Raw genomic sequence first — 27216 nt, forward strand, 5'->3', positions numbered from 1 at the left:
ATAAAACATTTTAAAACTAAAAGAAATCAATTTTAGTATGAGCAAGTCTGGAAAATCACCAGGGTTACCTAAGTTCTTTGAAGGACCCCAAGCCAACTTGAGATGAAGCCCAAAGTCCCAGACCTGGCAGGAAACATTGGATTTCAACTCTCTTTTTACAGAAATAAAATATATCTTTATACATGATTTCTAATTATCCTCCAAACCATTGCATTTTTACCTATTTCTCTCTACTTATTTATGGTAAGGAAGGAATGGAAACTTTCAATATTGAGGTTCAACTTGGAGAACATTCAAGGGGAAATGGAAACAGCCAAAATGAAAGCCAGACTTGGAGAGCATCAAATGTGTTATATATTATAACATATTTTTTTCTAAAAGTTTACAGGTGTAATGCTAAAATTATTCAGTGGCTCACGCAAGTAGGTAGACAGTTACTCACTATTGTAAATACCTTTCAATTAGCTATATGCTGATTACCAATTCTGGGGGTAACTGAAGATAGTATTTTGGTCTATAATTACTTGGCTAGGGACTGATATATGCTGGCAATTATTATATGGTTTGAAGCCTATAAAGACAATGTGAGATTCTATCTGTATAAAAATTAGCTGAATTAGCTGTTAATATGATTTAATGCAATGAAATCGATATAAAATGGGCATACAACTACTAAATTGAGCAGACAATATAGTCAGACAGCATCTTTATTCTTTTCTTCTATTGTCTCTTTATAATTTATTCAGGGGAGGTAAGAGGATCAAGAAAATTGTTATTTAATTGGAACTGTGCTATAGATAACTTAATGTCCTCTGGGACTGGGGAATTTCAAAGCTCAGTCCTTTTGTGTAGCAATTTCTGGGGGTTCTTCAGGATCCACAATCAAGAGCTATCCTGCATGTAGTTTCCTTTCATCTGGATGAGTAAATCTCCATTCTGGCTTGTTGAGTAGTTATTCCATAGTCTCTAGGAATATCTTATTTGCAGAGGTCCTGTAACCTCTTCCAGGTGGCCTTGTTATAAAGTATGTATATGTATGTTGCCTTCAACGGCATGGAAAAAACTCATTTGCCCAAAAAACCTCTGGAAATGCAGAGCAATCCCAATACAGCAGCAACTTTCTTTACTCTCCCACAAGAAACAAAAGAGGATATCTAGCCTAATATTTGTTTTCTAGATTTGCCAGGAAGGAGTTAGACAGAAGTCATGATGTGTCTTTAACTACAGGCAAAGACTATTAAGGATTCCATATAATCCTGTTGAAGCAATTTTCTCCTGATTTCAGGAGAAGGGGAAAGAAACTTTTCTTGCTTGATGAGTCATTTGCCTAATGTTACAGTCTCAGTAAGGGAACAAGTATTTCTATCCAGGATTTTTTGACTCTCAGTATTTTTTTTTCAGTCCAGGTTTTTTTGAGCTCTTAACTTTTACCTTATACTTCTCTCATGCTTTATCACTGAAATACCTCTCATTGCAAATAGATAGCAACTCTATTTTAAAAAGCAGATTTTTTCCAGTAACGCTTCCTTTTAAAAATAGAAAAAAAAAAAACCCACACAATTTTCTCATTTTCTCTCTGGGTTATGCTTTGTTATCTTTTTCCCTGATTCTCAGTCATCTTTCCAATGGACTGTATCTATCTGAAAACATGAATTCATCTTGTATTCCAGCGACTAGTGAACAATTAGCAAAGCTTGTCCTAAGTCATTAATTGATAGTTTCTGTTTAATCTTTCCCGAAACTGGAGAGCCCTCTGTTCTCGTGTTTATTTTGATCTCTTTGGAATGCAAATTATTTGCTCTTCTACAGTTCTGAATCTCCTTTTGGCCTACATAGAAATACTTGGACATATATAGTATGCCTATTCTACTTAAAATTTTAAAAGATGAAAGTGATTTTTGTCTAGCTTTGAGGTCTCTTTGAAATTAATATTACTAATTAAAGGGTAGTTGGCTTAAGATGCCTGCTGGCCTCACAAATGCGACACAAAATGACCCTAATCTATAAGGCAGTATAAGGTAATGGCTAAAAGCACATATGCGCAACCGTCAAACTGTGTTTAAATCTTAACCCTCTATTATTCTCAGTTTTCTTACCTTTAAAATGAGAACAATATTAACTATCCTACAGGGTTACTGTGTGAATGAAATGTGATCGTGTACATAAAGTCAGAGCTCCATACTTTTATTATTATTATCACTATTTAGGCAAAGGGAAATGTTGCTCATTGTATGACACAAAATCTCTCAACTGAAGGAAGTACTGAAAACCCTTTTTGATGCAAATAGCCACAGAGAGGATATGCAATCTGGAGGCAATGGATTAATCTATTAAGGTAGATGTTAAAGTCTGTTAAGTATTTTATATTACAGCTGAAAACAAAGGAGGTAATCATACTCAGGGCAAAAATTCCTGCTAAGAAGTTACTTAAGTTCCTCTAAAGATACAGTTAGGACAAGCTATGAAATACATGCCTCAATATACACCACGGAATACTATGCAGCCATAAAAAAGAATCAGTTAACGTCCTTTGCAGGGACATGGATGAAATTTGAAACCATCATCCTCAACAAACTAACACAGGAACAGAAAACCAAACACCGCTTGTTCTCACTCATAAGTGGGAATTGAACAGTGGGAACACATGGACACAGGGAGGGGAACATCCCACACTGGGGCCTGTCAGGGGTTGTGAGGAAGCGGGAAGGAGAGCATTAGGACAAATACCTAATGCATGTGGGGCTTAAAACCTAGATGACAGGTTGATAGCTGCAGCAAACCACCATGGCACATATATACCTATGTAACAAACCTGCATGTTCAGCACACGTATCCCAGAATTTACAGTAAAATTAAAAAAAGAAAAAAAATAAATATGCGCCTCAACTTTGGGTCAAAGAAAGTTTGGCTGCCTTCTGTGATAATTGTTCAGGTTTCAAAACCCACCCAGGCCCATCTAGATAGAACGTGTGCCTACGGAGAACAACTACCCCTCCTTCATAAGGTTATTAAATTTTACTTGGGAAATATCAACTGGAGAAGAATTCTGTTAAGTAGTTTTCCCTTGCAGATTCTTCAATTTTATCGATTGTTCCATGAAAAACTGGACTCTTTGAAGTGTGGATATTCTTGAACAAAAGATAATCTCTCTGGAGATTACCTGGTTTTAATTAGTTGGTGCTGAATGCACCTAGACATTTTAGCCTCTTTCTCACTTAAAGCTGTTCAGACAAGATAGCTGTCTTAAATCCCTTCTGGAACACTCTGGAAATGAACAAATAAATTTCTACCAGCTTCTGTAACAGATAAACCCTTAAATCTCAGTGGCTTAAAACAATAGAAGTTTATTAGTTCTGCTCTGTGAAGACATCGAGGGACTTGGGCTTTATTTTGTGGCTCCTCCCTCTTCTAGGTCTTTGAAGTCCTTTCCATTTGACATGAAAAAAGATGAAGAGGATCATAATTATAAGGTTTTCATAAACCAGACCCAACAATAAACTCATAATGTCTGTTCACATTTCATTAGTCAGAACTCAGTCATGTGGGCACACCCAACTAAATGCAAAGGAGGCAGGAACATGTAGTTTAGCTACGTGGCTATGAAGTAGAGAAAATGCTGGTGTGTAGCTTGCCAGTATCTGCCAAAATAAATATAAATTGATATTAATATGAATCTAGTATATATGCCTAGATTTATGCTTCTATTTTTTGTTTATTTATAAATTGTTTCAGAGAAGACACAGGCATCTGGAAAATGACCTATTGTCTATCTATCTATTTATATCAACTATCTAAATGATCACTGATGCCATTTTGTATTTAACTCTGTGTGCATGTTTTTACACATTAGAGAAACACATCTTGCCATAGTAAGGTTTAACTCTGACCTTTGTTAATGTAATCCTTTTCCAGATACAGCTGCATCTAAAATTCCCATTTGCATGCCTACTCTTAATTCATACTAAATTGTTATTAGATTCCTAGGTGGTATAAATGCAACCTTTAAAACAATTATATATCAGTCAAGCTAAGCAAGAACATGCAATTCTTTATATTCCAAAAACTGTAATAACATATTTTTTGCCTGTAACTTTAGCAGATATTTGGGAACTTTTATCTACTGATGGTTGCCAACTTACTGCTTGAGTTCTGTCCAAAAAAGAGTAGAAAACTATCAAAGTAGGAAGTATATTTAATTGAACTCAATAAACACCTTCTGGCTACCTTTTATATGCAAAGTGGAGCTGGGGACAGAGATGAGCAAATGCAATACTATTCTAAAACAGCTTATAGTCTAGTAAGGAAACTCTGTCCAGTAAACAAATTAATTATATTGACTTTCCCAAATTGGAATCACATAATTTTAAGCAGCAAAGATGCACTTTATTACATTATTTTATATATTGAAATACTGAAAAAACAATATCCAGCTATGGAAAGACAATTGTATTATTCATGACTCATGGTTCCAAATGGACTATTATGCAGGAATTAAAATGATGGCTATAAGAGATATTTAATAATTTGGAAAATGTTTATATAAAAAAGATATTAAGTGAAAAAATAAATTTATATCTACATCCTGAACATAGTTAAGGAAAAATACCTTCATGCATAAAGCAAAAGAATGAAAGGAAATATGCCAAACTTTAAAGTGTTAGATTGTGCTATAGGTATTAGTTACTTATTCTAGGAGTTCTGCTTTCTCTTCATTTTTTATTTAAAAAATGTTTTCAATGCGCATTGTATTGCACTGATTTTGAGGAAACAATAAAAACAAAAATACAATAAAAGTCCTTCAAAATTCAATCATAGGTAAACTCTGTTCTGAATGAATAATGTATATAGATAACTTGCTATATCTTTAGTCAATTAATTAGCCACATTATAAAGTTAGGGCAAAGATAAGGCTCCTTTTCTTTACTACTTCTATTTTCCCTGTTATGGTAATTTACCTCTACCTTTAAAACATTTATAATATATAATTGTATATAAAATTATAATTTCTCACCTCTCTCTCTCTCTACTAAGGAAATTACATATAGGAGAGGTAGAGAGAAGATCAAATATGTATATATTCTAGTTTATTTATATTTTGATAAACATTTTTGAAATCATAGGGAATCACATTAATATTTACATTAATATAATATACATGCTAATTATCCTCTTCTGAATAATTTGTATTGAAAGAAAACCAATAAATGGCTCAGCAAACAGATTTTCATGATTCAAAATGAAGTGAAAAACAGATAAAGTATGAAAGAGCAGATAGAGTATAAAACAGCTTACATAAAGAAATGAATCCTGGAAATTTAACTTTGTTTTATGGAAAACAAAGTCATTTCAGGCTTTAACTTAGCCACTTCAGGAGTATAATTCATAGGTTATGTTTATATGAAAGCTTCATTGAGTATGTACAACTAGGTGAACACTTAGTTCAGTTTTCCAACAAGAAAACTGGTTTTAAAATAAGCCTGTTAGTGTCTAACGATGTGTGGCCAGAAAAAAAGAAATATTAACTAACAATTTCTGGAACAAATCATTTACAGGGCTACTAAATATCTTTCTATATAATATTTGGAAATAATGATAATAATAAAAATACTTATGACATGATTATCTGATATCCATTATTTTATTCAGTCCTCAAAACAATCTCCCCTGAGATAGGAACTGTTCTCATTACCATTTTGTAGATAAGAAAAGTGAGTCTCTGGGTTAAGTTTACTTGTACAAGGACTTGCAGCAAAGAAGTGATAGAAAGGGGATTCAAACTCACGTCTTTCTGGCTCTAAAGTCCTAGTTACTCTAGTAAAACAAACAAACAAACAAACAAACACAACCAAAAAAACCCTGAGTGGTAGGTGGCATTATTCCTATCCCTTTAACAGAATAGGCAATTGAGTCTCAGGAGATCTGAGCTACTAGATCAAGGTCAGTTAGGTAGTGTGGCAGAACTAGGATTCCAATGCAAATCTGTCATTGACCTGGCTGAGGTCCCTCTACCCATCTTTGAAAAGCTGTAGACCTGCCGTAGCAGAAAAACTAAGCCCTATCCCTCAATACATTTTGTAAATGAAACAAGCAGCATTTATTATACAATTTACTAGTTTCAGCTTTATCAAGGCCTCATAATGTTGTATTAATATGTTGTATTAATATTGCATGTTCTCAGCATGAAAAATCCAAGGTGAAAGTGGGTACATTTGTATCTGCTCTGTAATCTAGGTTTTCTACAAGTAGAGTGACCATAGACTATACCACACACACTGGGATGCTTCTGTAGGAGTGGGGACACTGTGTGTAGTAATGCTGGGCAGCGGTGAAAAACAGAGACTGTCTTAGTCAAAGGAGGACATATGGCCACCACTGTTCCTGGGACATGTAGACCCTCCCTCTTGACAGTCATTGGCTGGTTTTTCCCTTAGGCTCGGGGGATCTGTTATAAATACTCTTGTCTCAGATATTGCTCTGAAACCAACTGAGAACTTTTAATGTAAATCTGAAGAAACGTATCTTTCTTTGTTCCTAATTGATTAATCTAGTTTTAGGAAAAACATGTCTAAAATCAAGTAAGAGGTTTTGAGCTGGAATTGAGCAGATTTTCCTGCCTTTTGGGGGGCATTGTCATGTTTACAGCTAGAAGACTGTTACAGTAAGGGGTTTGCATTTTAACCCTGAGTAAACATTGATTTTTGTGTTCCATTTTTGCTGTAGAAAGAGTGATGCTTATGAAGTCTATTAACACCCAAGGAAGTAATGTTGCCTTCAACTTTCAATCCTTGCTCTGATCTCCATTGTGAGAACTTGGACTAATAAGAGTGAACTATGTTATTTTCTTATCAACATTGTTCTAATTGGCAGCTGACTTCATGATTAAAAACTTGGAACTAGCAATTCATCATCAAGACATCAAAGATATAATGGTATGCTATGGAAACAGAGATATAACCATGAAAATAAATAACATGGAAAGAGAATAGGGCATTTTGAATAGCCATATCTGAGAGCAATTTCTGATTTTGTAAATGGTGATAACTGTGTTAATCTAGTATGTAAACTCATAAGGCATGAGTTTCCCAATGTCAAGGATAATATCTACATCTTTCTATTTGTTTTGATACTTAAATGAGTTGAAAGTACATAAAATAGCAAGCATAGAGAAAGCCCCTAGCAAATGGTGGTTCTCCTCTTTTTATTTTTTATTTAAAATAGCAAAGTCAAACCCCAAGTTCTATAGCTACATGCTGTACCTGTATTTTTCACAATAAACATACTAAACGTCACAATCTATCTTTTTTCCCTCCTATTCCCTCTATTTTCACTTCTTTTTCTTGTCCTTACTGTTTCCATCTTTCCTTCTATTTCTTCTGTTTTTTTCTTATTATGCCCTCTTCCCTTCCCCATCTTTCCCTCTCACCCAAAGTCTTAAGGTGGCCAACATATTATAAAATGAACATACTGCACATCCGCATGTGAAAAATGATTTGAAATTTAAATTTTATTATTTTTTAGATTGAGTTCTGCTCCATCGCCCAGGCTGGAGTGCGGTGGCCATGATCTGGACTTGCTGCAACCTCCGCCTGGCTGGTTCAAGCAATTCTTCTGCTTCAGCCACCCAAGTAGCTGGGATTACAGCTGTGCATCACCACGCCTGGCTAATTTTTTTTCTTGTATGTTTAGTAGAGAAGGGGTTTCACCATGTTGACCAGGCTGGTCTCAAACTCTTGACCTCAAGTGATCTGCCCACCTCAGCCTCCCAAAGTGCTGGGATTACAGACATGAGCCACGGCGCCCGGCCTGAAATTTAGTCTTTTTAGAAGTGATCGTTATTATCAAAATCATTAGCCCTTTAATCAAGGATAAGTCAGGTTTGTTTATAAGGCCTTTGGGGACAGATTTCAATGGCATCTCTTAGAAAAGAAACACGGGATGTGTAAAGTGCTGACAAAATTTTTCCTCTGGAGGATAAATTTCTCTGTAGCAGACAGACACATGAATATTATATTTAGATAGAGTGCTCTTCAATATTAGTTTCATTCCTTAAAACAAAATGGAAAATATTGGTATATGTAAAGCCTTTACTATCCTTATAAGATTGAAACTTCTGTTAGTGCTCATGTTTGTTTATATTTTTCTTCTTTGATCCTTTCCCTAAGGCCTTCAATAATGGGTACTGCAATGGAACCAAAGTCACAAAAGGACTTATAAAAAGGAATTAAAAAACGAAAGAGAAAGGAATGAAAGGTACTTAGGTAAAAGAAAGAGGAGGAAGTTGAGGAATCAAACTTCTCTGTCTTGGTTTAGGAAACGGTGAGGGCATCTAAGGATTTATTGTATGAATCTGATTTTTCAGTACTTTTCTGCATCAGCAGCTGGGTTCCGGTAACTGAAAGCTGATTACTGCGTAAAGGAGTGAAAAATAGATGTTAATTAGATAAAATTGTCTGAGGAGAATAGCAACATTTTGGAAACCTGGGATATAAGAAAGCTAGACTTTCTGCAAGTTTATTTAACAAGGGAGAGTTTCCCCTTCTTATCCTAATCTTCGTTTCTCTGTCCTCCTAAAAGCCCTCCTAAAAATCCTCCAACAACCTCAGTCCGTCATGAACAAGTCACAGATCCACAGTGCAGAGTCTGGACTAGTGCTGACCTTGACAGTGATGGACACCCTGTGATCTGGACTTGGCTCTCCATCACAACAATCCCAGGTCTATTTACTGTAAGACCAATTTACAGACTAAAGGGCTTAACTTTTCTGTCCACGCAGGTAGAAATTTCTGAGTATTCCAGGCAGGCTGGTATTGAGGCTTACCACAGGAGTCAGAAGTTATTTTTCCACCTGGAATGCACTTCAATTTTTCCACATGGACTACTCCCTGATTTCCTCACCACTGCCACAAAGGACATTGATAGTTACATTCAAACTGACATACAAAATTAAACATCTAAGAGATGCCAGGATAGTTACCAAAACTTTAACACTTGAATCAGTAGGCCAAGTAAAGATCTGCTGTTACCAGTGTGGGTGAACATTGTTCAATCTGTGAGGGCTCAGAGACAACAAGGCTGAAAAAAAGCAAATTTTCTCTCCCTCTCTTCTTGAGCTGAGACATCCATCTTCTCCTATTCTCTGATATGGGAGCTCCTTGTTCTCAGGCCTTTGGGCTCAGTCTATGTTGTATCACTGGCTTTCCTGGTTTTCCGGCTTGCAGAGAGCAGATGGTAGGACTTCTTGGCCTTCATAATTGCATGATCCAATGACCATAAATCTGTGTGTAAGTTTGTGTGCATCCACATCTTATTGATTCTGTTTCTCTGGGGAATTCTGACTAAAACAGACACTTTAAATAAATGTCATTGTTGGCTTAAAGCAGTGGATTCTCCAGTTTTAGTATACTAAGAAGTCATCCTGGAAGAGTATAACAGGGAAGAATATTTGTTCTGATTCATCAGGTCCAGGGAGGTACCTATGAATCTTCACTGTTCATGAACAATTTCAGGTGATTCTCATTCAGCTGATGAAAGGACCACTCTTCCAATAGAAGAGTGTAGAACAGAAACTCTATTCTAAGGAATTCACGCCTCAAAGGAAGGAATGGGTCAAATTCTCTTTCTGACTTAACAGCAATAGCTGTGAAACTGAAGCTCTAAAACATTTAAGGAAGGATATGTTTCAACAGGAAAGGAAAAGAAGCCAACGTGGTCAGTATGTTTCCTAGGAAAGAGAGTCACTGGATGAGATGGGGATGGTCACTGCCAGCTTAGCCCAGCCTTTGGGTTTTCAGATATAGCTTCTGAGTATCTTTCCTGTGGAAAGAGTACCTGGGCGTCCTTGAAGACCACTTGAAGATTCTAGTATTGCCATTGCGAGAAAAAAATGTTACTTTAAGAATAATCAAAGGACATGATGGTTCATTCACCAATCTTTTGGGTTTTTATTGTATTAGTGTTTTATCAAAAGCCAGATAAAGTGGCAGCTCTGTGTGTGACCAATGACATTTACATATAAGGCACATTCCTGTGACATTCCCAGATTATGAGTCTGTGGGATAGATAAAATATATTGATTAACTCCACCCTTTTCTCTTCTACTCAAGAGTACAAATGGACTCAAGAGTAAGTAAAAATGGTGGTGTTATATGGAGAGTCAGTGGTTCATTCTGCTTGTTAATAGGCTTCATTCCTCAAACTTCCACAATCAAGCTGTTATTGATCAAAAATGACTTGTCATAGCCATCACAACTGCTGCGTGAACACGCAGTTGGGAACTGTGACAAGAGAGGTGGCTTTGTACTTTATGGCCCTGAGAGGATGAGGATTACATGCTGTCATGTTAGGGGTTCAGGAGAGATGTTACCTCAAGCTGCAATCCTCCATGATGGGTCCTCTCTACTCTTCCTGGGATTGCAGAAAAGATCTGTAATTGAACACCATCTATTTTTCTGCACTGTCTTATCAGCGGTCATAACAGGTCTTCAGAGAAAGCTTTTTAGGGGGCTTTTGAGTGCTACACAGTGTTGGTGTAGTTTTGAAGGACGGTAGCAATGTCTGAAAAACACAGCGCAGAGTCACCTTCCTATTGAGTCACCAAAGGCCTGCAGGTACTCCTTGGATAATGGGGATTCCCTCGAAGAACCTGCAACACAGTCCATGCAATGCTAGTCACCATGACTGTGTTCATTACCACCCGGTATTGCATGCTTTTATTCAGGGCTTGTTATAACTTCAAGTGTTACCAGGACAAAAGCAGTCAGTAATCCTTCTGATTACTGAATGGACGTTTTGACCATAAACAGTTGGGCTTAACAAACAGGGAGCAGGTAATTAAAATACCTTAAAGTCATTTAATTTATTCAATATTTCAGCCATCACTAAGATGAGAAAAGAAAAAAAAGTTTCTTGCTTATCACCTTAGAGAAAGAAAGGGTCGACAGGGCAAGTGTAAGAATAATCTCAACCTGTTCGAGGAATTCCAAGCCTATTTAATTCTAGAAAATTTTGAAACGCTACTTGGTTTCAGGAAATGCTTGCTGTAAGGGTCAAAGACAGGCAGGTTAGAAGCACAATCCTAACTTATCAAACCTGCCCCAGACATACTCCACATTGTTCATTCTGTTGCCAGAGGAGTTATTAGAAATCTAGACTTCTGATTTGCATCCTAGGAATATCAGAGTGAGGACCTAGAGGCATTTTTTTCCTCATGATGTATTTAGCTTTAAGGACTGTGTAGAAATAAATATTTAGATCTTTAATAGCAAAGGGATGAGAGATAAATTCTGTGTGTCGAATCCACATTTTTTGGTTACTGGCAAGAATTTAGTGATTGAAGTTAAGAACTCAATACTGTGATTAACGTGCTATTTAATGTGCCAGTCTTAGTAATGCACTATTTAAAGTATCTTTCTTTTTAAAAGTCCCTACTATGTAGAATTTGGTTTAGGATTGAAAACCTACTTGGAATAGTGGTAAATGCTTAACAACTGGCTTTCCAAAGGGTGGGGTAAATGGGGGGGCTGGGGTTGAGGAAGTCCTGTTTTCTACCTTTTGCAGATTTCCATGATGTAAATATTTTCTATCATGATCAATTTCTACCTCACAATATGATAACATGCTTATAAAATTTGTGGAAAATCAACAGTTGATTCTTGCAAAGCTGATATAAGTTGGATCCAGCACACACAAGTACCTGGACCCTACTTCTTTGAATGCAATAGCTCCATATATATTAAGACCCTGTTTTATGTAATGTATATAATTTTGACGTAAATTTTGTGTAACCAAATGTAATACATTGTACTTTTAAAAAACCTTGTTATTGGTTCAAAACACTGTTATGTCTTATTTCATAAAACTGTTTCTGAAAGTTCTGAAAGGCTGCAAGTGCATTGAAAATTTCCTAAATTCATTATAGGTGAAATCTGACACAAATTTTATTGTCTTCAAAAGATTTCCATTTTAAAAAGTATATATTTAATTTGTCTTTTGTGTTACATTTTCACATTTGATAGTTGCATAGTAAAGAAAGGCAGTTCTTAATCAAACTTGGTGATTATATGGAAACAAGTGTCTATTAGGCCTCATTTTGAGGGCAGGAAGGTGGCACAGACTAATGGTTAAGCCCATGGGTTTGGAATCAGGCTGGTCCTAGCACTTACCACCTGAATGAATTAAAATGGGGCAGTTACTTAACCTGTTTGCCTCAATTTTACCTTTGTAAAATGGGATACTAACAGTACCTACTTCATAAAATTGTTGCAGGCTTAAACAAGTTAACATATGTAAAGTGCTTAGAGCAGTGTCTGCCACTTACTAAGTACCACATGATTCTGCTTTTATGGCCACTAATATATTTTAGGACAGCAATTAACAAGCTATTAGTGTAGAACTCGATAAATGTTGCCTTAGATTAGGGTTCTCAAAGTATGGGGCCCCCAAAATCTGTGTTTTAATAAGCATGCAGGTATATCTGATGAACTCCTGTGTTCTAAAAGTGTGAATGTTCTTTCTGGGAGAAAGTGTCCCTCCATATTATAGTTTTTTGAGACCAAATGGTCTGGATTAAGCAAACTGCTTAACAATTAAAAAATAGCTATAATTTTATATGCCAGGCATAATGCTAGGTTTTTTTCTGTGTATCATAGCATTTACTCCTCACAACAACTCTAGAAAGGAGGTACTGCTATTGTCATTGTTTTATAGATAGGCAATTGATTTTCAGAGTCCTTAAGACATGTGCCCAATGTCGCAGTCTAGTAATAAGTCTGGTTCCATCATCTCTACTTTTGCCCACTATACCATACGGCCTAATATTTCTAAATAGGGACTATTCAGAAATCTCACTTTCATTTAAGAAATTAAGTTTTAGGAAGGTGATTAAGCTTTAAGAAAGCACAAAATAAATGTTACATCCTTCATATTTTCCAGTTGAGTAGATGCCAGGCTGGGAGTCAGCCTCACTGGAAAAGAATAATTTGTGTGATAATACACAATGAACTGGACCACTCTCGTGGTATTTTGCAGAACTTTCTGTGTATTTTTTTTTAAATCTAAGTTTGTTTCTAAATACATAAATCTCTGAGAAAGCCCGTGAGAAGATTCCACTAAGGCAGCAACAAAGACTTCTGTTCCACTGGACTTTTTTTAGGTAAATGGAAAAAAAAAAGAAGTGGAAGCAAACAACTGAACATTCGTAAGATGCTATCTCTCAATAATTACGTAATATTATGGAAATAGACTCTAGGCAACATTCTAAAATTTGGGCTTTACCTACTTTTTTTTTTTCCATTTTCAAAGAGTGGAAGACCACAAAAGAGAAAAGATATTCACAATCACAGACCACAGAGATAAAGACAAGAGGAGACATTTCAGGGTTACTCCTAATGCTAAGTATCTGAGAATTAAACCTCCCAGACAACCAGGAAGGCTTCAACTGCTGGGAATATTCACACCTTTTTGGATGACTAATTAATTACTTCAGGTGATAGAGAGCTCGAAGGGCACTAAAGAGTGTGTGTCGGGGGCGGGTTGGGGGGAGCAGTCTTACCCTTATTGCCTCAAAAGAAAATTACCTTTTGCACTTCTCCAGATTACGACGACTCCCTGACTACAAGTATAAATAAAAATAATCTATTCAGAAGCATCTATTACAAATAACATTCTAGGGAGAGCTCTTGACTGCATATCCTCAGAAGACAAGTTTTATTAGAAATAAAAAAGGAGTGTGAGCATACTAAACAGCAGCACCATCACTATACACATGTTAAATATTTTACTACTGTGTTAGTGAAATATTTAAAGTGATCTCTAAACTTTTCTCCCCCCATCACATGGGAGCCTGAATATGTCACTACCCAATGCTGTCTGACAACCTCACGTTGGCAAAATGCTTCCCAGGGGAAAGAAAAAAAAAAAGGAAGAGAAAACAAGAAACAATTCATGTGAAAGAGTGACTGCAACTATTTTGATTTTTAATAGGAAAGAAATAGATCTCATATTAAACAAAGTGGTGAGGCTAGGCATTAAGAGATGTTGCAAGCCGTTTGTCCCAGATTCTGGCTCTGCAAACAAGCCCCAGCAGGCTTCAATGAAAACATCATTTTTGGTGTAGCTGAGTGTGTGGCTCGACTGCTCTTAGCTGCCTCTTGCTGAATGATGTCACTGGAAAGGACATCCAATAAAAAAGCCTCTCGGACCTGCTTATACTGTGTGGGTTCTTTGTCCTTTACAGCCTTTGCTCCTGGGATGAAATGTAAGAACACTTCAGCTCCAGAGTCAGCTTTGGCGCTGATCCTATCCTGAATTCTAAGAACTTTTAAGCCTTCTTTAGATTCTAAATGAGCCATCTTTAGCCAAACTGCAATTCAATGCAACAGATGTCTGGAGGGACACTGAACATGTGGCTGAAAATGGATCAAACAGATAACAACTAGATTTATGTCTAAATGGGGTCTTGCTATAGAGAGAATGTTTGCATTACTGCAAAATTTATATGTTAAATCCTAACCCCCAAGGTGATGGCATTTGGAGATAGAACCTTCGAGAAGTGTTTAGGTCATGAGGGTGAAGTCCTAATGAATGGGTTTATTAGTGCCCTTATAAAAGGGACCCCAGAAACCTCCCTCACCCCTTTCCACCATGTGAGGACACAGGGAGAAGATGCTGTCTGTGAACCAGGAAGTGGGCCTTTAGCAGATACCACATATATTGGTGCCTTCATGAAGGTCTTCCTACTATGCAAAACTGTGAGAAATAAATTTCTGTGGTTTACAAGCCACCTAGTCTATGGTATTCTGTCATAGCAACCTGAACAGACTAAGACAGGTCTCTTCTAGACCAATCTATACTTGCCTTTAATATAGAATCCAGCACCAAGGCCTAAGACACCACTGGATACCTCTGTAAAACTCTCCCCACACACATTTTACTACAGCTAATGTTGCAATGTTGAAAAATGGAAAATACAGAAAAGCTATTGATTCTTTTGGACCATCGGATTGATATCATTGAGAACTTACTATGTGCTAAGCACTTTACATATATTGTCTAACAATACTGGGAGAAAAATAGTTATCTCTGTTTTATAAAAGAGTTCAAGGCTCAGAGAAGTTAAGCCACTTATTTAAGGTCATACTGTTAAGTCAATGTTAGAATTGGAATTTGAACATTGGTCAGTCCCTTTCTAAACCCCATATACTTAATTGCTAAACCAGAAATAGAAAGTATGCTTTACATTGTGAGCTGTGAACAGTCATCAGTGGGAATGGCCACCTGAAGCCACTGAATTGAGATGACATCTAAGGCTGAGTGTGTGGGCTCACAAGGAAGGAGGATCAGGTCAATCAGCAATGCAGGGGTAGTGGCAGCTCTTGTACCAGGATTTGCCATCCTTACTTCCATCTTACTGGTCCTCAGTTACTAATCTCTATCTTTTATTTTGTTTGGTTTTCTATAAGCTTAACATGTATGGGAAGAAAATTCAGTTAAAAGGAAAGGCCTAGGGTTGGTATACTCCTGGGTCACTGCTTCACTTGGTGATCCAGGGGCAGTCAGTTCTTATTTTTCATATATGACCTAAAGGAACCAAACTGGGTAGCCTCTGGAATTAAATAATTGTGTGCATAAATATATATACACATTTTAATAAAATAGTTTTTACATTATCTTGCAAATTATATTTTATACTGTTTAATATTCTCCTCCTGCTAGTAATCTACGTGAATGAAAAAGGAAAATAGAGGTATGGAAAAGTATGTAATCTTTACATAAAGTAGAATCCTATATTTACTTCCCCTATAGTTCACCCCTGCAATGTCACTGTAATTTGGAAGAGCATTCCACTGGGATCCTTTGATATCAATGCCAATGATAAAAGGAAAGACTTCTTATTACTAGAAATGGAAAACCACTATTATTGCATATTAAAGGAAAAAGGCTTTCACAGGAAATAATTAGTTCTTGCTCTGAATTAAGCAAACTAAACCCTTAATGTAAATGATAACTGAGAAAAATCAGTTTCATTTTCTGTCCATAAAACTGAGGAGGAGGAAGAATCATATCTCATGTGGGTAGTCACCATCTCTCACCTATTATGGAGGTTGGATTCCGGTCCCATCCTGTATTGACATGTGAAGGGGACAGGACTTAAGGTGCATAGTAACTATTTCCAACACCAGCTGTTCAGAGTACTTTAGTTAATACCTCACTTCGAGGCAAGAATTTTGCCTTGATACTGAGAAAGAAAGGTGCAAAGGAAGGATCCTGCTTAGCCAGAAGAAGCAAAATAATGTATAGTAATGAAGCCAGTCTTAAACACAGTTCAAGAAAGACACAGCTTTAGCTATAAGGCACTCAAACGTGCAGGATGCTAAGTGCCTTTCTATGCCATTTATTCATTCAATTCCCTGGCAATAAACTACTAAGAAAATTTTAAACTAATAATGCATTTTACAGGTTGAATCTGAGGCCCTGATTTTCCAGAAAAACTTTCCAGAAAAACATGGTAAGGCACAGCAATTGGAGGAAAACTGTCCAAGCTTCTGGCCATCAAGTATTACACATTTATTTATTTACTTAGTGCTTCCAAGTTCAGGAGGCAGAATATATTGCTATTGCCTTTAAAGGGAATATCTTCAATGTTTTGACCGCTGCTAACAAGATGATTAGCATGTCTTTAAACCATCTTTATTAAGCAGATGTTTGCCCTGGCATTTTTCCAGCCCTTCTTGGGTCATCAAGCCTAATATTCTCTTTTCATTTGTTGGTATGCTGTTCATTTCTGGTCCTCAGTGAGGGGACTGCTTCTTGACCTTGTCATGCACATGGTTTGATTTCATAAGTGAGAGGTTGGCCTATCTGGGATGGGTGAGGATATTCCCTTAGCCCTTGCACAGGTCATCAGTGAAGCTCAGGCAGCTTGAGGGGATAAGGCAATAGGGGAAGTGCTTCTTAAGTGATACTTTTTCCTTGGTGAGGACTCTGTTTATGTTTAGTTTCTTATGTGACATAATGAATTAGGAACTAAAGGCAATTTGAAGATTTGTGCCCTATGTGCAGAACAGAAATTTAATGTATGAAAGCAAACCACAGGTCAGTTAGGAGAGTTGATCAATATTGATATTGCTCTTTAATGAAAGGAAATAACCCTGATGGATTTTCCTTGGGATTGCTGATGAGTATGTATTTGTACTCAACACATGGGGCTTTTCATTGATCTCAGTCAAATTAAAATTTTATTAACAAGTCAGACATCCATCTGTATTTTTCCAGAAGTTCCACTGTTTCCAAAAGCCAGTTAATACTCCTGCCTCTGTTTCTCTCTCTCTGAATTAACATTTACACATCCATTATGTGCCAAACACTTTCCCATGTTTTATCTCACCTAGTCCTCTTAACAACCTTGTAAGATAATATTATCTCCATTTACAGATAAGAAAATCGAGGCAGAAAACAGCTAGGTAACTTTCCCCTTATCACACAGATAATAAAAAGCGAAACATGAGCTCAAATAGATCTAGTTTTCTTTGACACTAAAGTTCGTATTATTTCTACAAACCTCACACTGTTCCCAGTGGCAGAATGAGGGTTATTTTGAAGTATGGTTTTGTTTGAATGGAGATGATATGAAAGGATAAATGACGAGGATGGCAAAAAAAAAAAAAAAAGAAAAAAAAGAAAAAAAAAGAAAAAAAAAAGAAAAAAAATTTCCTATACCAGCAGTTCAGGAACTCTTATAACCCACCCAGGAGGACCTAAGGACTGCTGTTGTTCCCCTCTTATTGAGAGAGCAGATCTTCATTGTCCATCTAGATTAGTGAAGGTCCAGAAAGAAAAACATGGCACCTCCAAGTAAAGTGACAGAGTTTAGCACATGTGACCCTAAAGCCTTCTGAGATTGGTCCCTTGGTTTTTAGAAGCTATAATGCAAATACAATAGTAGTTTGAAGTTTTCTACTCCCTGACTATTTGGATACAGTGTTCTCACTTTGTTCAAAGGCTGATTTTAGACATCCAAGCAACATGTACCAGGTTAGTTTGAGGTTTAATCAATAAAATTGACCAGGAAAGAATTCAAAAGCCACACCGTCTGATTCTATACTTCATATATGGGGCAGACACCACGCTCTTGTCTTGTGTTTAATCTACAGAGTCTCTGTGAAAACTGACTTTTCCTTCCCTCATGAAATTTTAAATTACAGCCTGCCTTATATTTAGTGGGCTGCAGGGTTACTATGGCAATCAGCTCCTGAAGTATAGGGATTTTATCTGAGCATTTTAGTGAAGAGTACATTAGAGGTCAGAGGTTTGTCTCTGTTCCTCTTCTACACATTGGGACCCTTTCCCCAAATGGATGGTCAGATGCATGCTCTCAATTGCCTCATAAATACACCACACATAATTTATAAATCAGCCGGACACTAGGAATGGGCTCTTTTGTATAAAGGAAATGAAGTATACTTCAGAAGTAAATCTGTGAGATTTCCAAAAATGGGAGAAACAGTTCAGTGTCAACACATATAGACATACATATAAACACATACACATGCATGCATGTGCATACAGATAAACACACAGCAACTAATATTTATTAAGTGTTTCCTACATATCAGGTTCTAAGAACTTCACATGCATTAACTCAATTCCCTTAATAACCATATATGGTAGGTTACATCCTCATCCCTTTTTGTGAATGGGAAACTGAGGCATATAAAGGTTAAGTAACTTACCTTATTTAGCTCACACAGCTAATAAGTGGCAAAACTGTGATGTTAAAACTGAGTAATCTGATTAAAGAGGTTCTTCTCTGAACTACCCTATGCTGGTTTAAGATTTGTGCTGAGAGCAGAGAACCTGGATATGAATCTTAGCTATAGCTTTGTGATCTTGGATGACAAGTCACTTCAATGATGCTTACTTAGCCTCAGCTTCCTATTAGTAAACTGTGGTTAATAATATCAACCCTACACAATGGTTGAGGGGAGTTAATGAGAAAAATGTATGTAAAGTGCTTTACATACACTTACGAACTGTAAAGTGCTACATACATGTTATCAATCCATTGTACATGCAGCACACAATACGTACTCTGTCTTTCCTACTTATACTTCTCGGTCACCTTGCCTCTCCCCACAATGAACTGAACACATAAAAACATATAATATGGAAAAATAATTTCCTAATACCCTTGAAACATTTTCATACGTCCTAATCTAACTATTAATAATTGTATACATACATTTTATGTCTCAGAGAAAATGAAATAATTTCAGAGCAATGGTTACAAATTTTACCACATCAAGTTATGTGAAATGCATGCATCTTAGAAGCTCTATGAATTTATATGCTTACATAAAAAGCATTAGTTAATAGTAGAGATGTTACTGCCATCAAGACAATGAGACTGGTGTACACTGGTGTTCCGTATCATAAATACACAGACTGGAAGTTCTCAATCATTTGAAGTAGGTGGGACCTTAACGGAAAAGAGGCACAGTGAGGAAGTGAGACACCAAGTAGGACACAGGGCATTGACCCTGGATTCAGAAAACCCAGATACAAGTCATCATCCATCCAAAAGTCATTGAATTCCTACCATGTACCAGGACCCTGTTGGTAGGTACCAGAGATGCAAAAGCATATAAAGACATGATGCTTTCCTAGAGTCATCCTGCATCCCACTAACTGTGTGACCTTACATCAGTCATTGTATCTTACTATGAAAAGCCTTGATTTCCATATTAATAAAAGAAAGCAAATAAAGAATCAGAGAGGTAAAATCACCATTCAAAGTTCATGCATCTAACTGGTGGCACAGAAAAAGGTGAGAATAAAACTTCAAACTTCCAATTTGGTACTTTCCCTGACCAGATTTCATCATTCCTTTTGCAATTCCCACCGTGGTTTGTTTCACATACTTAAGTTTGACTGTCACATGCCAAGATATTAGTTATTAATTTTTGAGTTATCCCAGAGTTTTTTCTCTGCTTTCCTACCAGAAATTTCTGGCAAGGTCTACATCAGAGTCTTCCTTTTCTTGTCCTCCAAGATGGGCGTGGTCTTGCACAGTTCCAGGGCTGTGCAGTGGAAGAATGACAGAAAAGGGGCAGAGTAGAGGACGAAAAGAAGAAAGAGAAAACAAGGGCTGTGGAGTTTTCATGGGTTGAGAAAGGCAGCTTATACTGTGTGGGGCAGTGGACTGGGAAGAACAAACAGAAAAACAAGATTTTAAGATTACCAGAGATTTGTGGTCCCTTTCATAATATTGAGGAATGCTAGCTTGAGTAGTTTTGAAGTTATTCTTGGTTGCCTGGGTTGTAGTCATTTAAGCACAATTGCTCTGAAATTGATCTATGAGGGTAACAGGTTTATGAGCCTTACAACAACCATTGGCTTCATCTTCTTAGCAGTGGAAGACTGCATGTGGACCTTCCCAATGCATCTCATATGTGAGACTCAACCAGGTTTTAATAGGTGAGCAGTGAGCTGTGTAGCTCAACTGGTTGAAATCTAGTGATGAAATGGTATCAGCAAATGGAATTGGGTCTTCTGAACACTGTCTTGTTAAGTAAATACCTATGTCAAAACTTCCTTCAAAGCTCTGAGTTAGAAGGGAAAACACACCTCCTGTCATTCATAAGCCTGAGCTCTGGGCTCTGGATTGTGGTCTGAGGGAATATAGAAAGAGCATTGCTCTTTTATGGGCTAAGGAGATGGAATTCTTTCTACTATAGATCACTGAGAAAATCAGCATAATATTTAATTCATTTTGTGTTCCTAGCTCTGGAGTAGGGGTCATAGCTGGCTCTTGATCTTTAGAATTTTATATTCTAGAAGCAGAGTAAGGTAAGGAGATTGGCTTTTACTGAGATCATGTGATAATGAGTTTATATTCATCATCTGTTTCTAAAAAAATCTTTATAACACCCTATGTGGTGGCATTAGTATTATCTCCATTTTATAAATGAGGAAAATTTTGAGTTTAAATGACTTGCCCAAGGTCACAACATTGTAATTATCACAGTATATTTTAGGCAGGAAAAGGAAATAGCGTATTTAATTATAAAGTAAATGCTGTAAACAATAGAGTTTTAGGGGAAGAGGTTGAACTGAAGTAAGCACTTCTGTTTTGACAAAAATAATTAGACACGTTTCTCTTTGGACTCTGAATTATTTTAGTTTAACAGTTTAGGTGTGATATAAATACATGGAAATGAGACAACAGAATTGTTATGACATTCTTCTTTTCTGAATGAGGAAAGAAGGTGTGTCTACCAGTAGTTTCTCACTCTTCACAACATGAGTGTCATAACACATCAACCATGAGCATCATATATATACAACATGTATTTTTCTTCCACTTATTTTTGGTTCTGAATCTGCTGTGATGTGAAAGTGTAATAATTTTAGTCAATCAAAATAGTATTTCAAATTAAACAGCTCCACAACAAGGCATCAAACATAAAATTTACAGTATACATCCAACATAAAAGGTTAGGATATCCCCGATTTTCTCCTCTTGTTTTCATATTCAGTTAAGACATTGCATTTGGACTCAGGAGCCCTTGGCTTGAAGGCTAGCTTGAACAGTTTAACTGTGCATCTTTGAGTAAATTAATAATACCAAGTTTCTGAATCTTTGTTTTCTCATCTGTGTGATTTGAGGATAATTTTTGGGGGATTTTTTGACATTAATTAGCAAAACACAAGAAAAAGTGTAGTACAAGATAAGGCATACAGTAGGTGGTAAATGTTTATGGTTTTCAATTAGGGTTTATTATTATTACTTCTATGATGATGATGATTACTATGATTCTACTGGCTGAGAGAAAAAGGTAGCCTAAACAAGCAAAATCCCCTTGAAATTCCCCCCAACACTTCCCAGGCCATCCTGAATATCCCAGCAAACAGAGCAGAAGAAAGGTGAATGAAGATATCAAGTGCAGACAGACTCCAGTGAGGTGAAAATTGCAATGGTGAGAGGTTGATGGTAAAATCAAACGGAACTTGTTATTTTGTCATTCTGATGGACTGGAACTGAGGATTTTCAATTTCCTCTCCAACCCAAGACACTTCTCACTGGAAAACTCTCACAATCACATTTATAACAAAGGAGAGGCAATGTTATTCTCAGAAATTCCTTTTAGAAAGTAAACTGCCTTGTTGGGGAAAGTATTTCTTCTGGGTGGTAGATGACTAGGCCCTGAGGAAATTGGTTTAGGCTGAATTCTTACTTACAAACCTTGGGGTGGAGCTGGCTTCTGGAGGGGGAACAGGAGAAAAAAAAAACAGCCAGAGAAGACAGAAAAGAGACAGAAGATGGTCCATTATCCCATGTTACATTTTCCAGTGACCACATTCCCCAACTCAACACACACACACACACAGAGCAGTTAATCTTCAGGACATCTTTAAACAAAAACAAAAAAGAAAAGGAAAAACAAAACTAAGAAATAACAGGGGCAAAGGGACTGAGTACTTTTGAAATTAGCACCTGTGACCCGTGGAAGCAGGAAGTGGGGCAACGGGAGGTAAGCTGTCCACAGCCATTACAGTAGTGAATTTAGTACTCTCCGGTTATATACGCAGAGTTTGGGCACCATTTAGGAGTAGGGCCTTTAGGAGTGGGACTTCCTAGTACTATTTATTCATTCAACAATATTTCCTAAGGGTCTATGTTAGGAAAAACTGACAGCCTCTCACTGCTCTTGCACGAGAATGCACAGGAAAGAAAGGGACTGCAGGTCTGACTTTGAGGGAAGGTAGGTGCAAACAGATCATGGCTGGAGTATCAGGGAAAGTGCTCGTCCCTCCTTGAGCACTTTCTCCTTAAAGGCTGTAAAACTAGTTTCCTAAAGATGTAGAGGTATACATTCCAAAATCAACATGGTAACGGTCATTTGTGACATAATGCTTAAGACTGGCCAAACGAGCTGGAGAAGGGTGGGTTATACAGAAAGGAGAAAGTACATGGTATCTTTTTGGGGATGTTCTACTATCCAAGAAGAGGAAGAGCATAAAAGAGGGCTGGCTCCCTGCACATCAGTTCCTCAACTCAGTCAGCAAGACCTGCTCCTTGGGCTATTTCCTATGGAGATAAGGTGGGGAATAGTAATTCCCACTTTTTCACTCCATCTCACTTATGGTCGACTTTTTTTTGTGTGTGTGTGAGTTTCAGCAAAATTGTTAACTTTTCTACATGTCAGTCAACTACTCAATAAATGAAGCTAAAAAACCAACCTTCAAGGGGTACTTATGAGGATGAAAGTAGATGTCTTCTAAAATGAATAAAATTTCTCCCATAGCAAATATTCTTAATAAGTAGCTATTAGTTTTGAGTCTTCCTTGTCAACATTTGCAATGTGGCTAAATATGTCTGTAGTCAGGATATTTCCCTCCCTCCCGTCTTTCCTTCCTCTCTTCCTTGCTTCTTTCCTCCCTTCCCTCCTTTCCTGAGACAGGTTCTCACTATGTTACCTAGGCTGGGCTCAAACGATCCCTCCAGGCTCAGCCTTTTGAGTAGCTGAGAATATAGGTATGTGTCACTGTGCCTGGCTGACTTTAAAAGCTAGTTGCTTTAAGTATAGATTAGACTTTCAATTCTAGCTTTGTAAGTACTGTACCCCCCAAACAGCTAAGACAATAGCTCTAGATCACTGTTAGATTAAATAAACAAGATATTTGGTTTGAAGACGTTAGCTTCGTATGCCAAAGTAAAGCATTCACTCCATCTCACTATGGTCAACTATTTTTGACTGTGGGAGAAGTGGGGTTGTCTATGTAGGTAACTCCTTGGCCTTGTAAGTGAATGCTATTGTGTTTCTCAGACTGTGGCCTTGGAAGGATCCAATTAACTCATGTGGAGCCCTAAAATTCCACTTAAATAAATCAAGTACCCAGATTCATTTATGACTCTTTAAATATATATATACACACACACAAAATCCCAAACCAAATTGACCTTCCCACAAACCTGTTCTCCCTTTTATACGTTAAGTTCTAGGGTACATGTGCACAATGTGCAGGTTTGTTACATATGCATAATGTGCCATGTTGGCGTGCTGCATCCATTAACTCGTCATTTATATTAGGTGTATCTCCTAATGCTATCCCTCCTCCATCCCTCCACCCCACAACAGGCCCTGGTGTGTGATGTTCCCCTTCCTGTGTCCAAGTGTTCTCATAGTTTAATTCCCACCTATGATCGAGAACATGTGGTGTTTGTTTTTTTGTCCTTGTGATAGTTTGCTGAGAATGATGGTTTCCTGCTTCATCCATGTCCCTACAAAGGACATGAACTCATTTTTTATGGCTGCATAGTATTCCATGGTGTATATGTGCCACATTTTCTCAATCCAGTCTATCGTTGATGGACATTTGGGTTGGTTCCAAGTCTTTGCTATTGTGAATAGTGCCACAATAAACATATGTGTGCATGTGTCTTTATAGCAGCATGATTTATAATCCTTTGGGTATACACCCAGTAATGGGATGGCTGGGTCCAATGGTATTTCTAGTTCTAGATCCCTGAGGAATCACCACACTGTCTTCCACAATGGTTGAACTAGCTTACAGTCCCACCAACAGTGTAAAAGTGTTCCTATTTCTCCACATCCTCTCCAGCACCTGTTGTTTCCTGACTTTTTAATGATCGTCATTCTAACTGGTGTGAGATGGTATCTCACTGTGGTTTTGATTTGTATTTGTCTGATGGCCAGTGATGAGCATTTTTTCATGTCTGTCGGCTGCATAAATGTCTTCTTTTGAGTAGTGTCTGTTCATATCCTTTGCCCACTTTTTGATGGGGTTGTTTGTTTCTGTTCTCCCTATCTTTATAACTGGCATCACTGTTCATCTGACCTCGCCCACAGACTGTTCTTTCTCTACTCTTCCTATCTCTGTAACTGGCACCACTGTTCATCCAGTTGCTCAGAGCAGGTCAGCAGCTATCATTGATTCCTGTCTTTCTCATACCACCCTCATCCAATTAATCAGCAACTTGATTGATCACTTCATCTTAAAAAAGAAAAAAAGATGAAACTATTCTTATCACTTCCACTGCTACCACCCTAGTTCACATCATAATTATCTCTTGCTTGAATGACTGCAATAGCCTCTCAGTCTTCTTCCTCTACCACTGCTCACCAACCTGAGCCTTCTATTTCCCATAAAGCCATCAGAGCAGTCAGTTCGCCCAGCTTTGTTGATAGTTTTGAAACTTGTCCAAATCTTCTCCACCTTGGGAAATTTGCAATCCTTCTTTCTCCCTGGAAAGCTCTAACCCAGGTCTTTGCATGGCTTGTTCTTTCACTAAGTTCAGCATTCCCATCAAGGGTCTGCTCATCATCCTCTGCTAGTCTTCTGATTTATTATTATTCAAAGCCTCTGTCACTACCTGGAATTTTACTGTATGCTGATTTGTTCATTTTTGATTGCCTAGTTTCCCAACAAAATATAAGATACATTCAGATGGGGATTTTATCCTACCTATTGCTTCATCTTCAAAGCATATAGTTTGTGATCAAGAAGTACTTATTTAATGAATAACAGAGTGAATGCTCTCTGTGTGTGTGTGTGTGTGTGTGTGTGTGTGTGTATGTGTGCAGGAATACAGAAAATATCGAACTATAGAAAGAACTATATCATGAGTGGAAAGTTCTGGCAGGCACTAGGGGATGAAATGCTCAGGCAGACATTAGGCCAATCCAGAAAGCCAGCATCATCACCATATATATAGAAACTGCATTATGATTATGCACAGCTGGAACCAAAGACCTATGTCCAGAACAAAAGAACACAGATAACTATGAGTTAAACACCGTGCTACACACTTTAACGCATTGACCCATTTAGTTCTCACCCCAACAAGACTGGTTATTTTTCTCATTTTGACCAAATGAAGAAACAGAAATCTGGAAAGCTTAATGATGAAGTTCATGCAAGAAAGTTGTAGAACTGGGATTTAAACTCAGGTTTTATGATTTCAAGCCTTTTGCTCTTCCCCTAAAACTGTTGTTCTATGTTCTTAACAATAGTTGGACTAAGCTCAAAAGAAGGAAAAAGAGAAGAGAAGAGAGGAGGAATGAGAAGTGGTTCCAGCTCTAGGAACCTCAATCAAGCCACAAGTCTGCACAGATCATTCCCTATTGCTATAGTGCATACTAAGCAATCATTCCTTTGAATGAATTGTTAGTATTAAAATCACTCTCCTTCAGCAAATAGCACTGCTTACTTCATTTTAACTGATCTTTTTACACATACATTGTCCAACTGTTAGGCTGAGTCTTATGAAATTGCCAATATTCTACCATTTTTGACCTACAAAAACAGCATTTCAACAAGATTCAACATAATAGAATGAGCATTCCCTGAAGGCAGGTATCACATCTAATGTAGCTTTGCCACTAGTTTCTGACTGATTAAATATCTGTTCATGATTTCTGTATATATTATCATCACTCTTATTTAAACAGATAGAGGATAGACACAATGGCTTATGTTCCTCAGCACATTGGATATATTTTAGAAATGTTGCTGAGCTTCAGTATCTGCAAAAAGCATCACTTCAGTGGTCTCAATACCCCCCCCCCTTTTATTTTTAACTTCAGTAGTGAACTTTACCCATCGAAGCTTCCAGCCAATGGAATATAATATATGAAGTAGTCAATTTTAAAAATTTGGAACAAAGGCATTAAAAAAAGAAAAACTATGTATTATATCAAAATGAGTCTTTTTAACACTCCTGTGGGGAGAAAAAATACCCTTATTTCACAGTAGAGGAGGTTATCGCATTCAGTGGTTGAGTGCATTGACCAATGTAAGTGGAAGAGTCAGAATGAAAACCCAGGTCTGCCTGACACAAAGTCTATGTGGTTAACCACTCTGATATACTACATCATCTCTGCCTAGCAGGCATCAAGGGCTTTGCTCCCTGTAAAAAGAAGTCATTAAAGGTGTCATGAAAACAGGGATCCCACACTAATTTGCTACCTGGCATCCATTTTCTCCAGCGTGCCTAAAAGCAAAGAGCTGAACTTGCTCTCCTGAAGAAACCAGGGAGTTCAGAATCTCTGGTGTAAACAGCCACTTTCCACGGGGAAGGCAGCCTCTCTCAGCCTAAGTCTTACCAAATACAGCTGGGCAGGACAGGGCCAGCACAGACCTTATACTATACCGAAAAGCCAACAAAAAAAGGGAAGGGTACTCTGAAAATGCCAG

The 27216-nt window shown here is 37.4% G+C and overlaps 1 protein-coding gene across 20 annotated transcripts in view, besides 1 other annotated feature; it reads right to left on the reverse strand.

The window, feature by feature from the left end:
* Window positions 1-27216, reverse strand: part of LINGO2 (leucine rich repeat and Ig domain containing 2) — a 1275985-nt gene that overhangs the window by 26268 nt on the left and 1222501 nt on the right. The window contains exon 1 of one of the 20 annotated variants that reach the window (XM_017014307.2): window positions 19351-20480. The exons of the other annotated variants lie outside the window; for them this stretch is intronic. The gene's annotated coding sequence lies outside the window, so the exon portion shown is untranslated. Of the gene's footprint in view, window positions 1-19350; window positions 20481-27216 lie in introns of those variants that run through there. 20 annotated transcript variants of the gene reach the window in all.
* Window positions 26752-26931: a silencer, noted in NCBI's record as "silent region_19823". NCBI's record gives its function as "represses an Ori minimal core promoter by ATAC-STARR-seq in GM12878 lymphoblastoid cells {active_cell/tissue: GM12878}" and the evidence as "EXISTENCE:reporter gene assay evidence [ECO:0000049][PMID:35858748]".

The sequence above is a fragment of the Homo sapiens genome, chromosome 9 (assembly GCF_000001405.40).
Source record: "Homo sapiens chromosome 9, GRCh38.p14 Primary Assembly".
Classification (NCBI taxonomy): domain Eukaryota; kingdom Metazoa; phylum Chordata; class Mammalia; order Primates; family Hominidae; genus Homo; species Homo sapiens.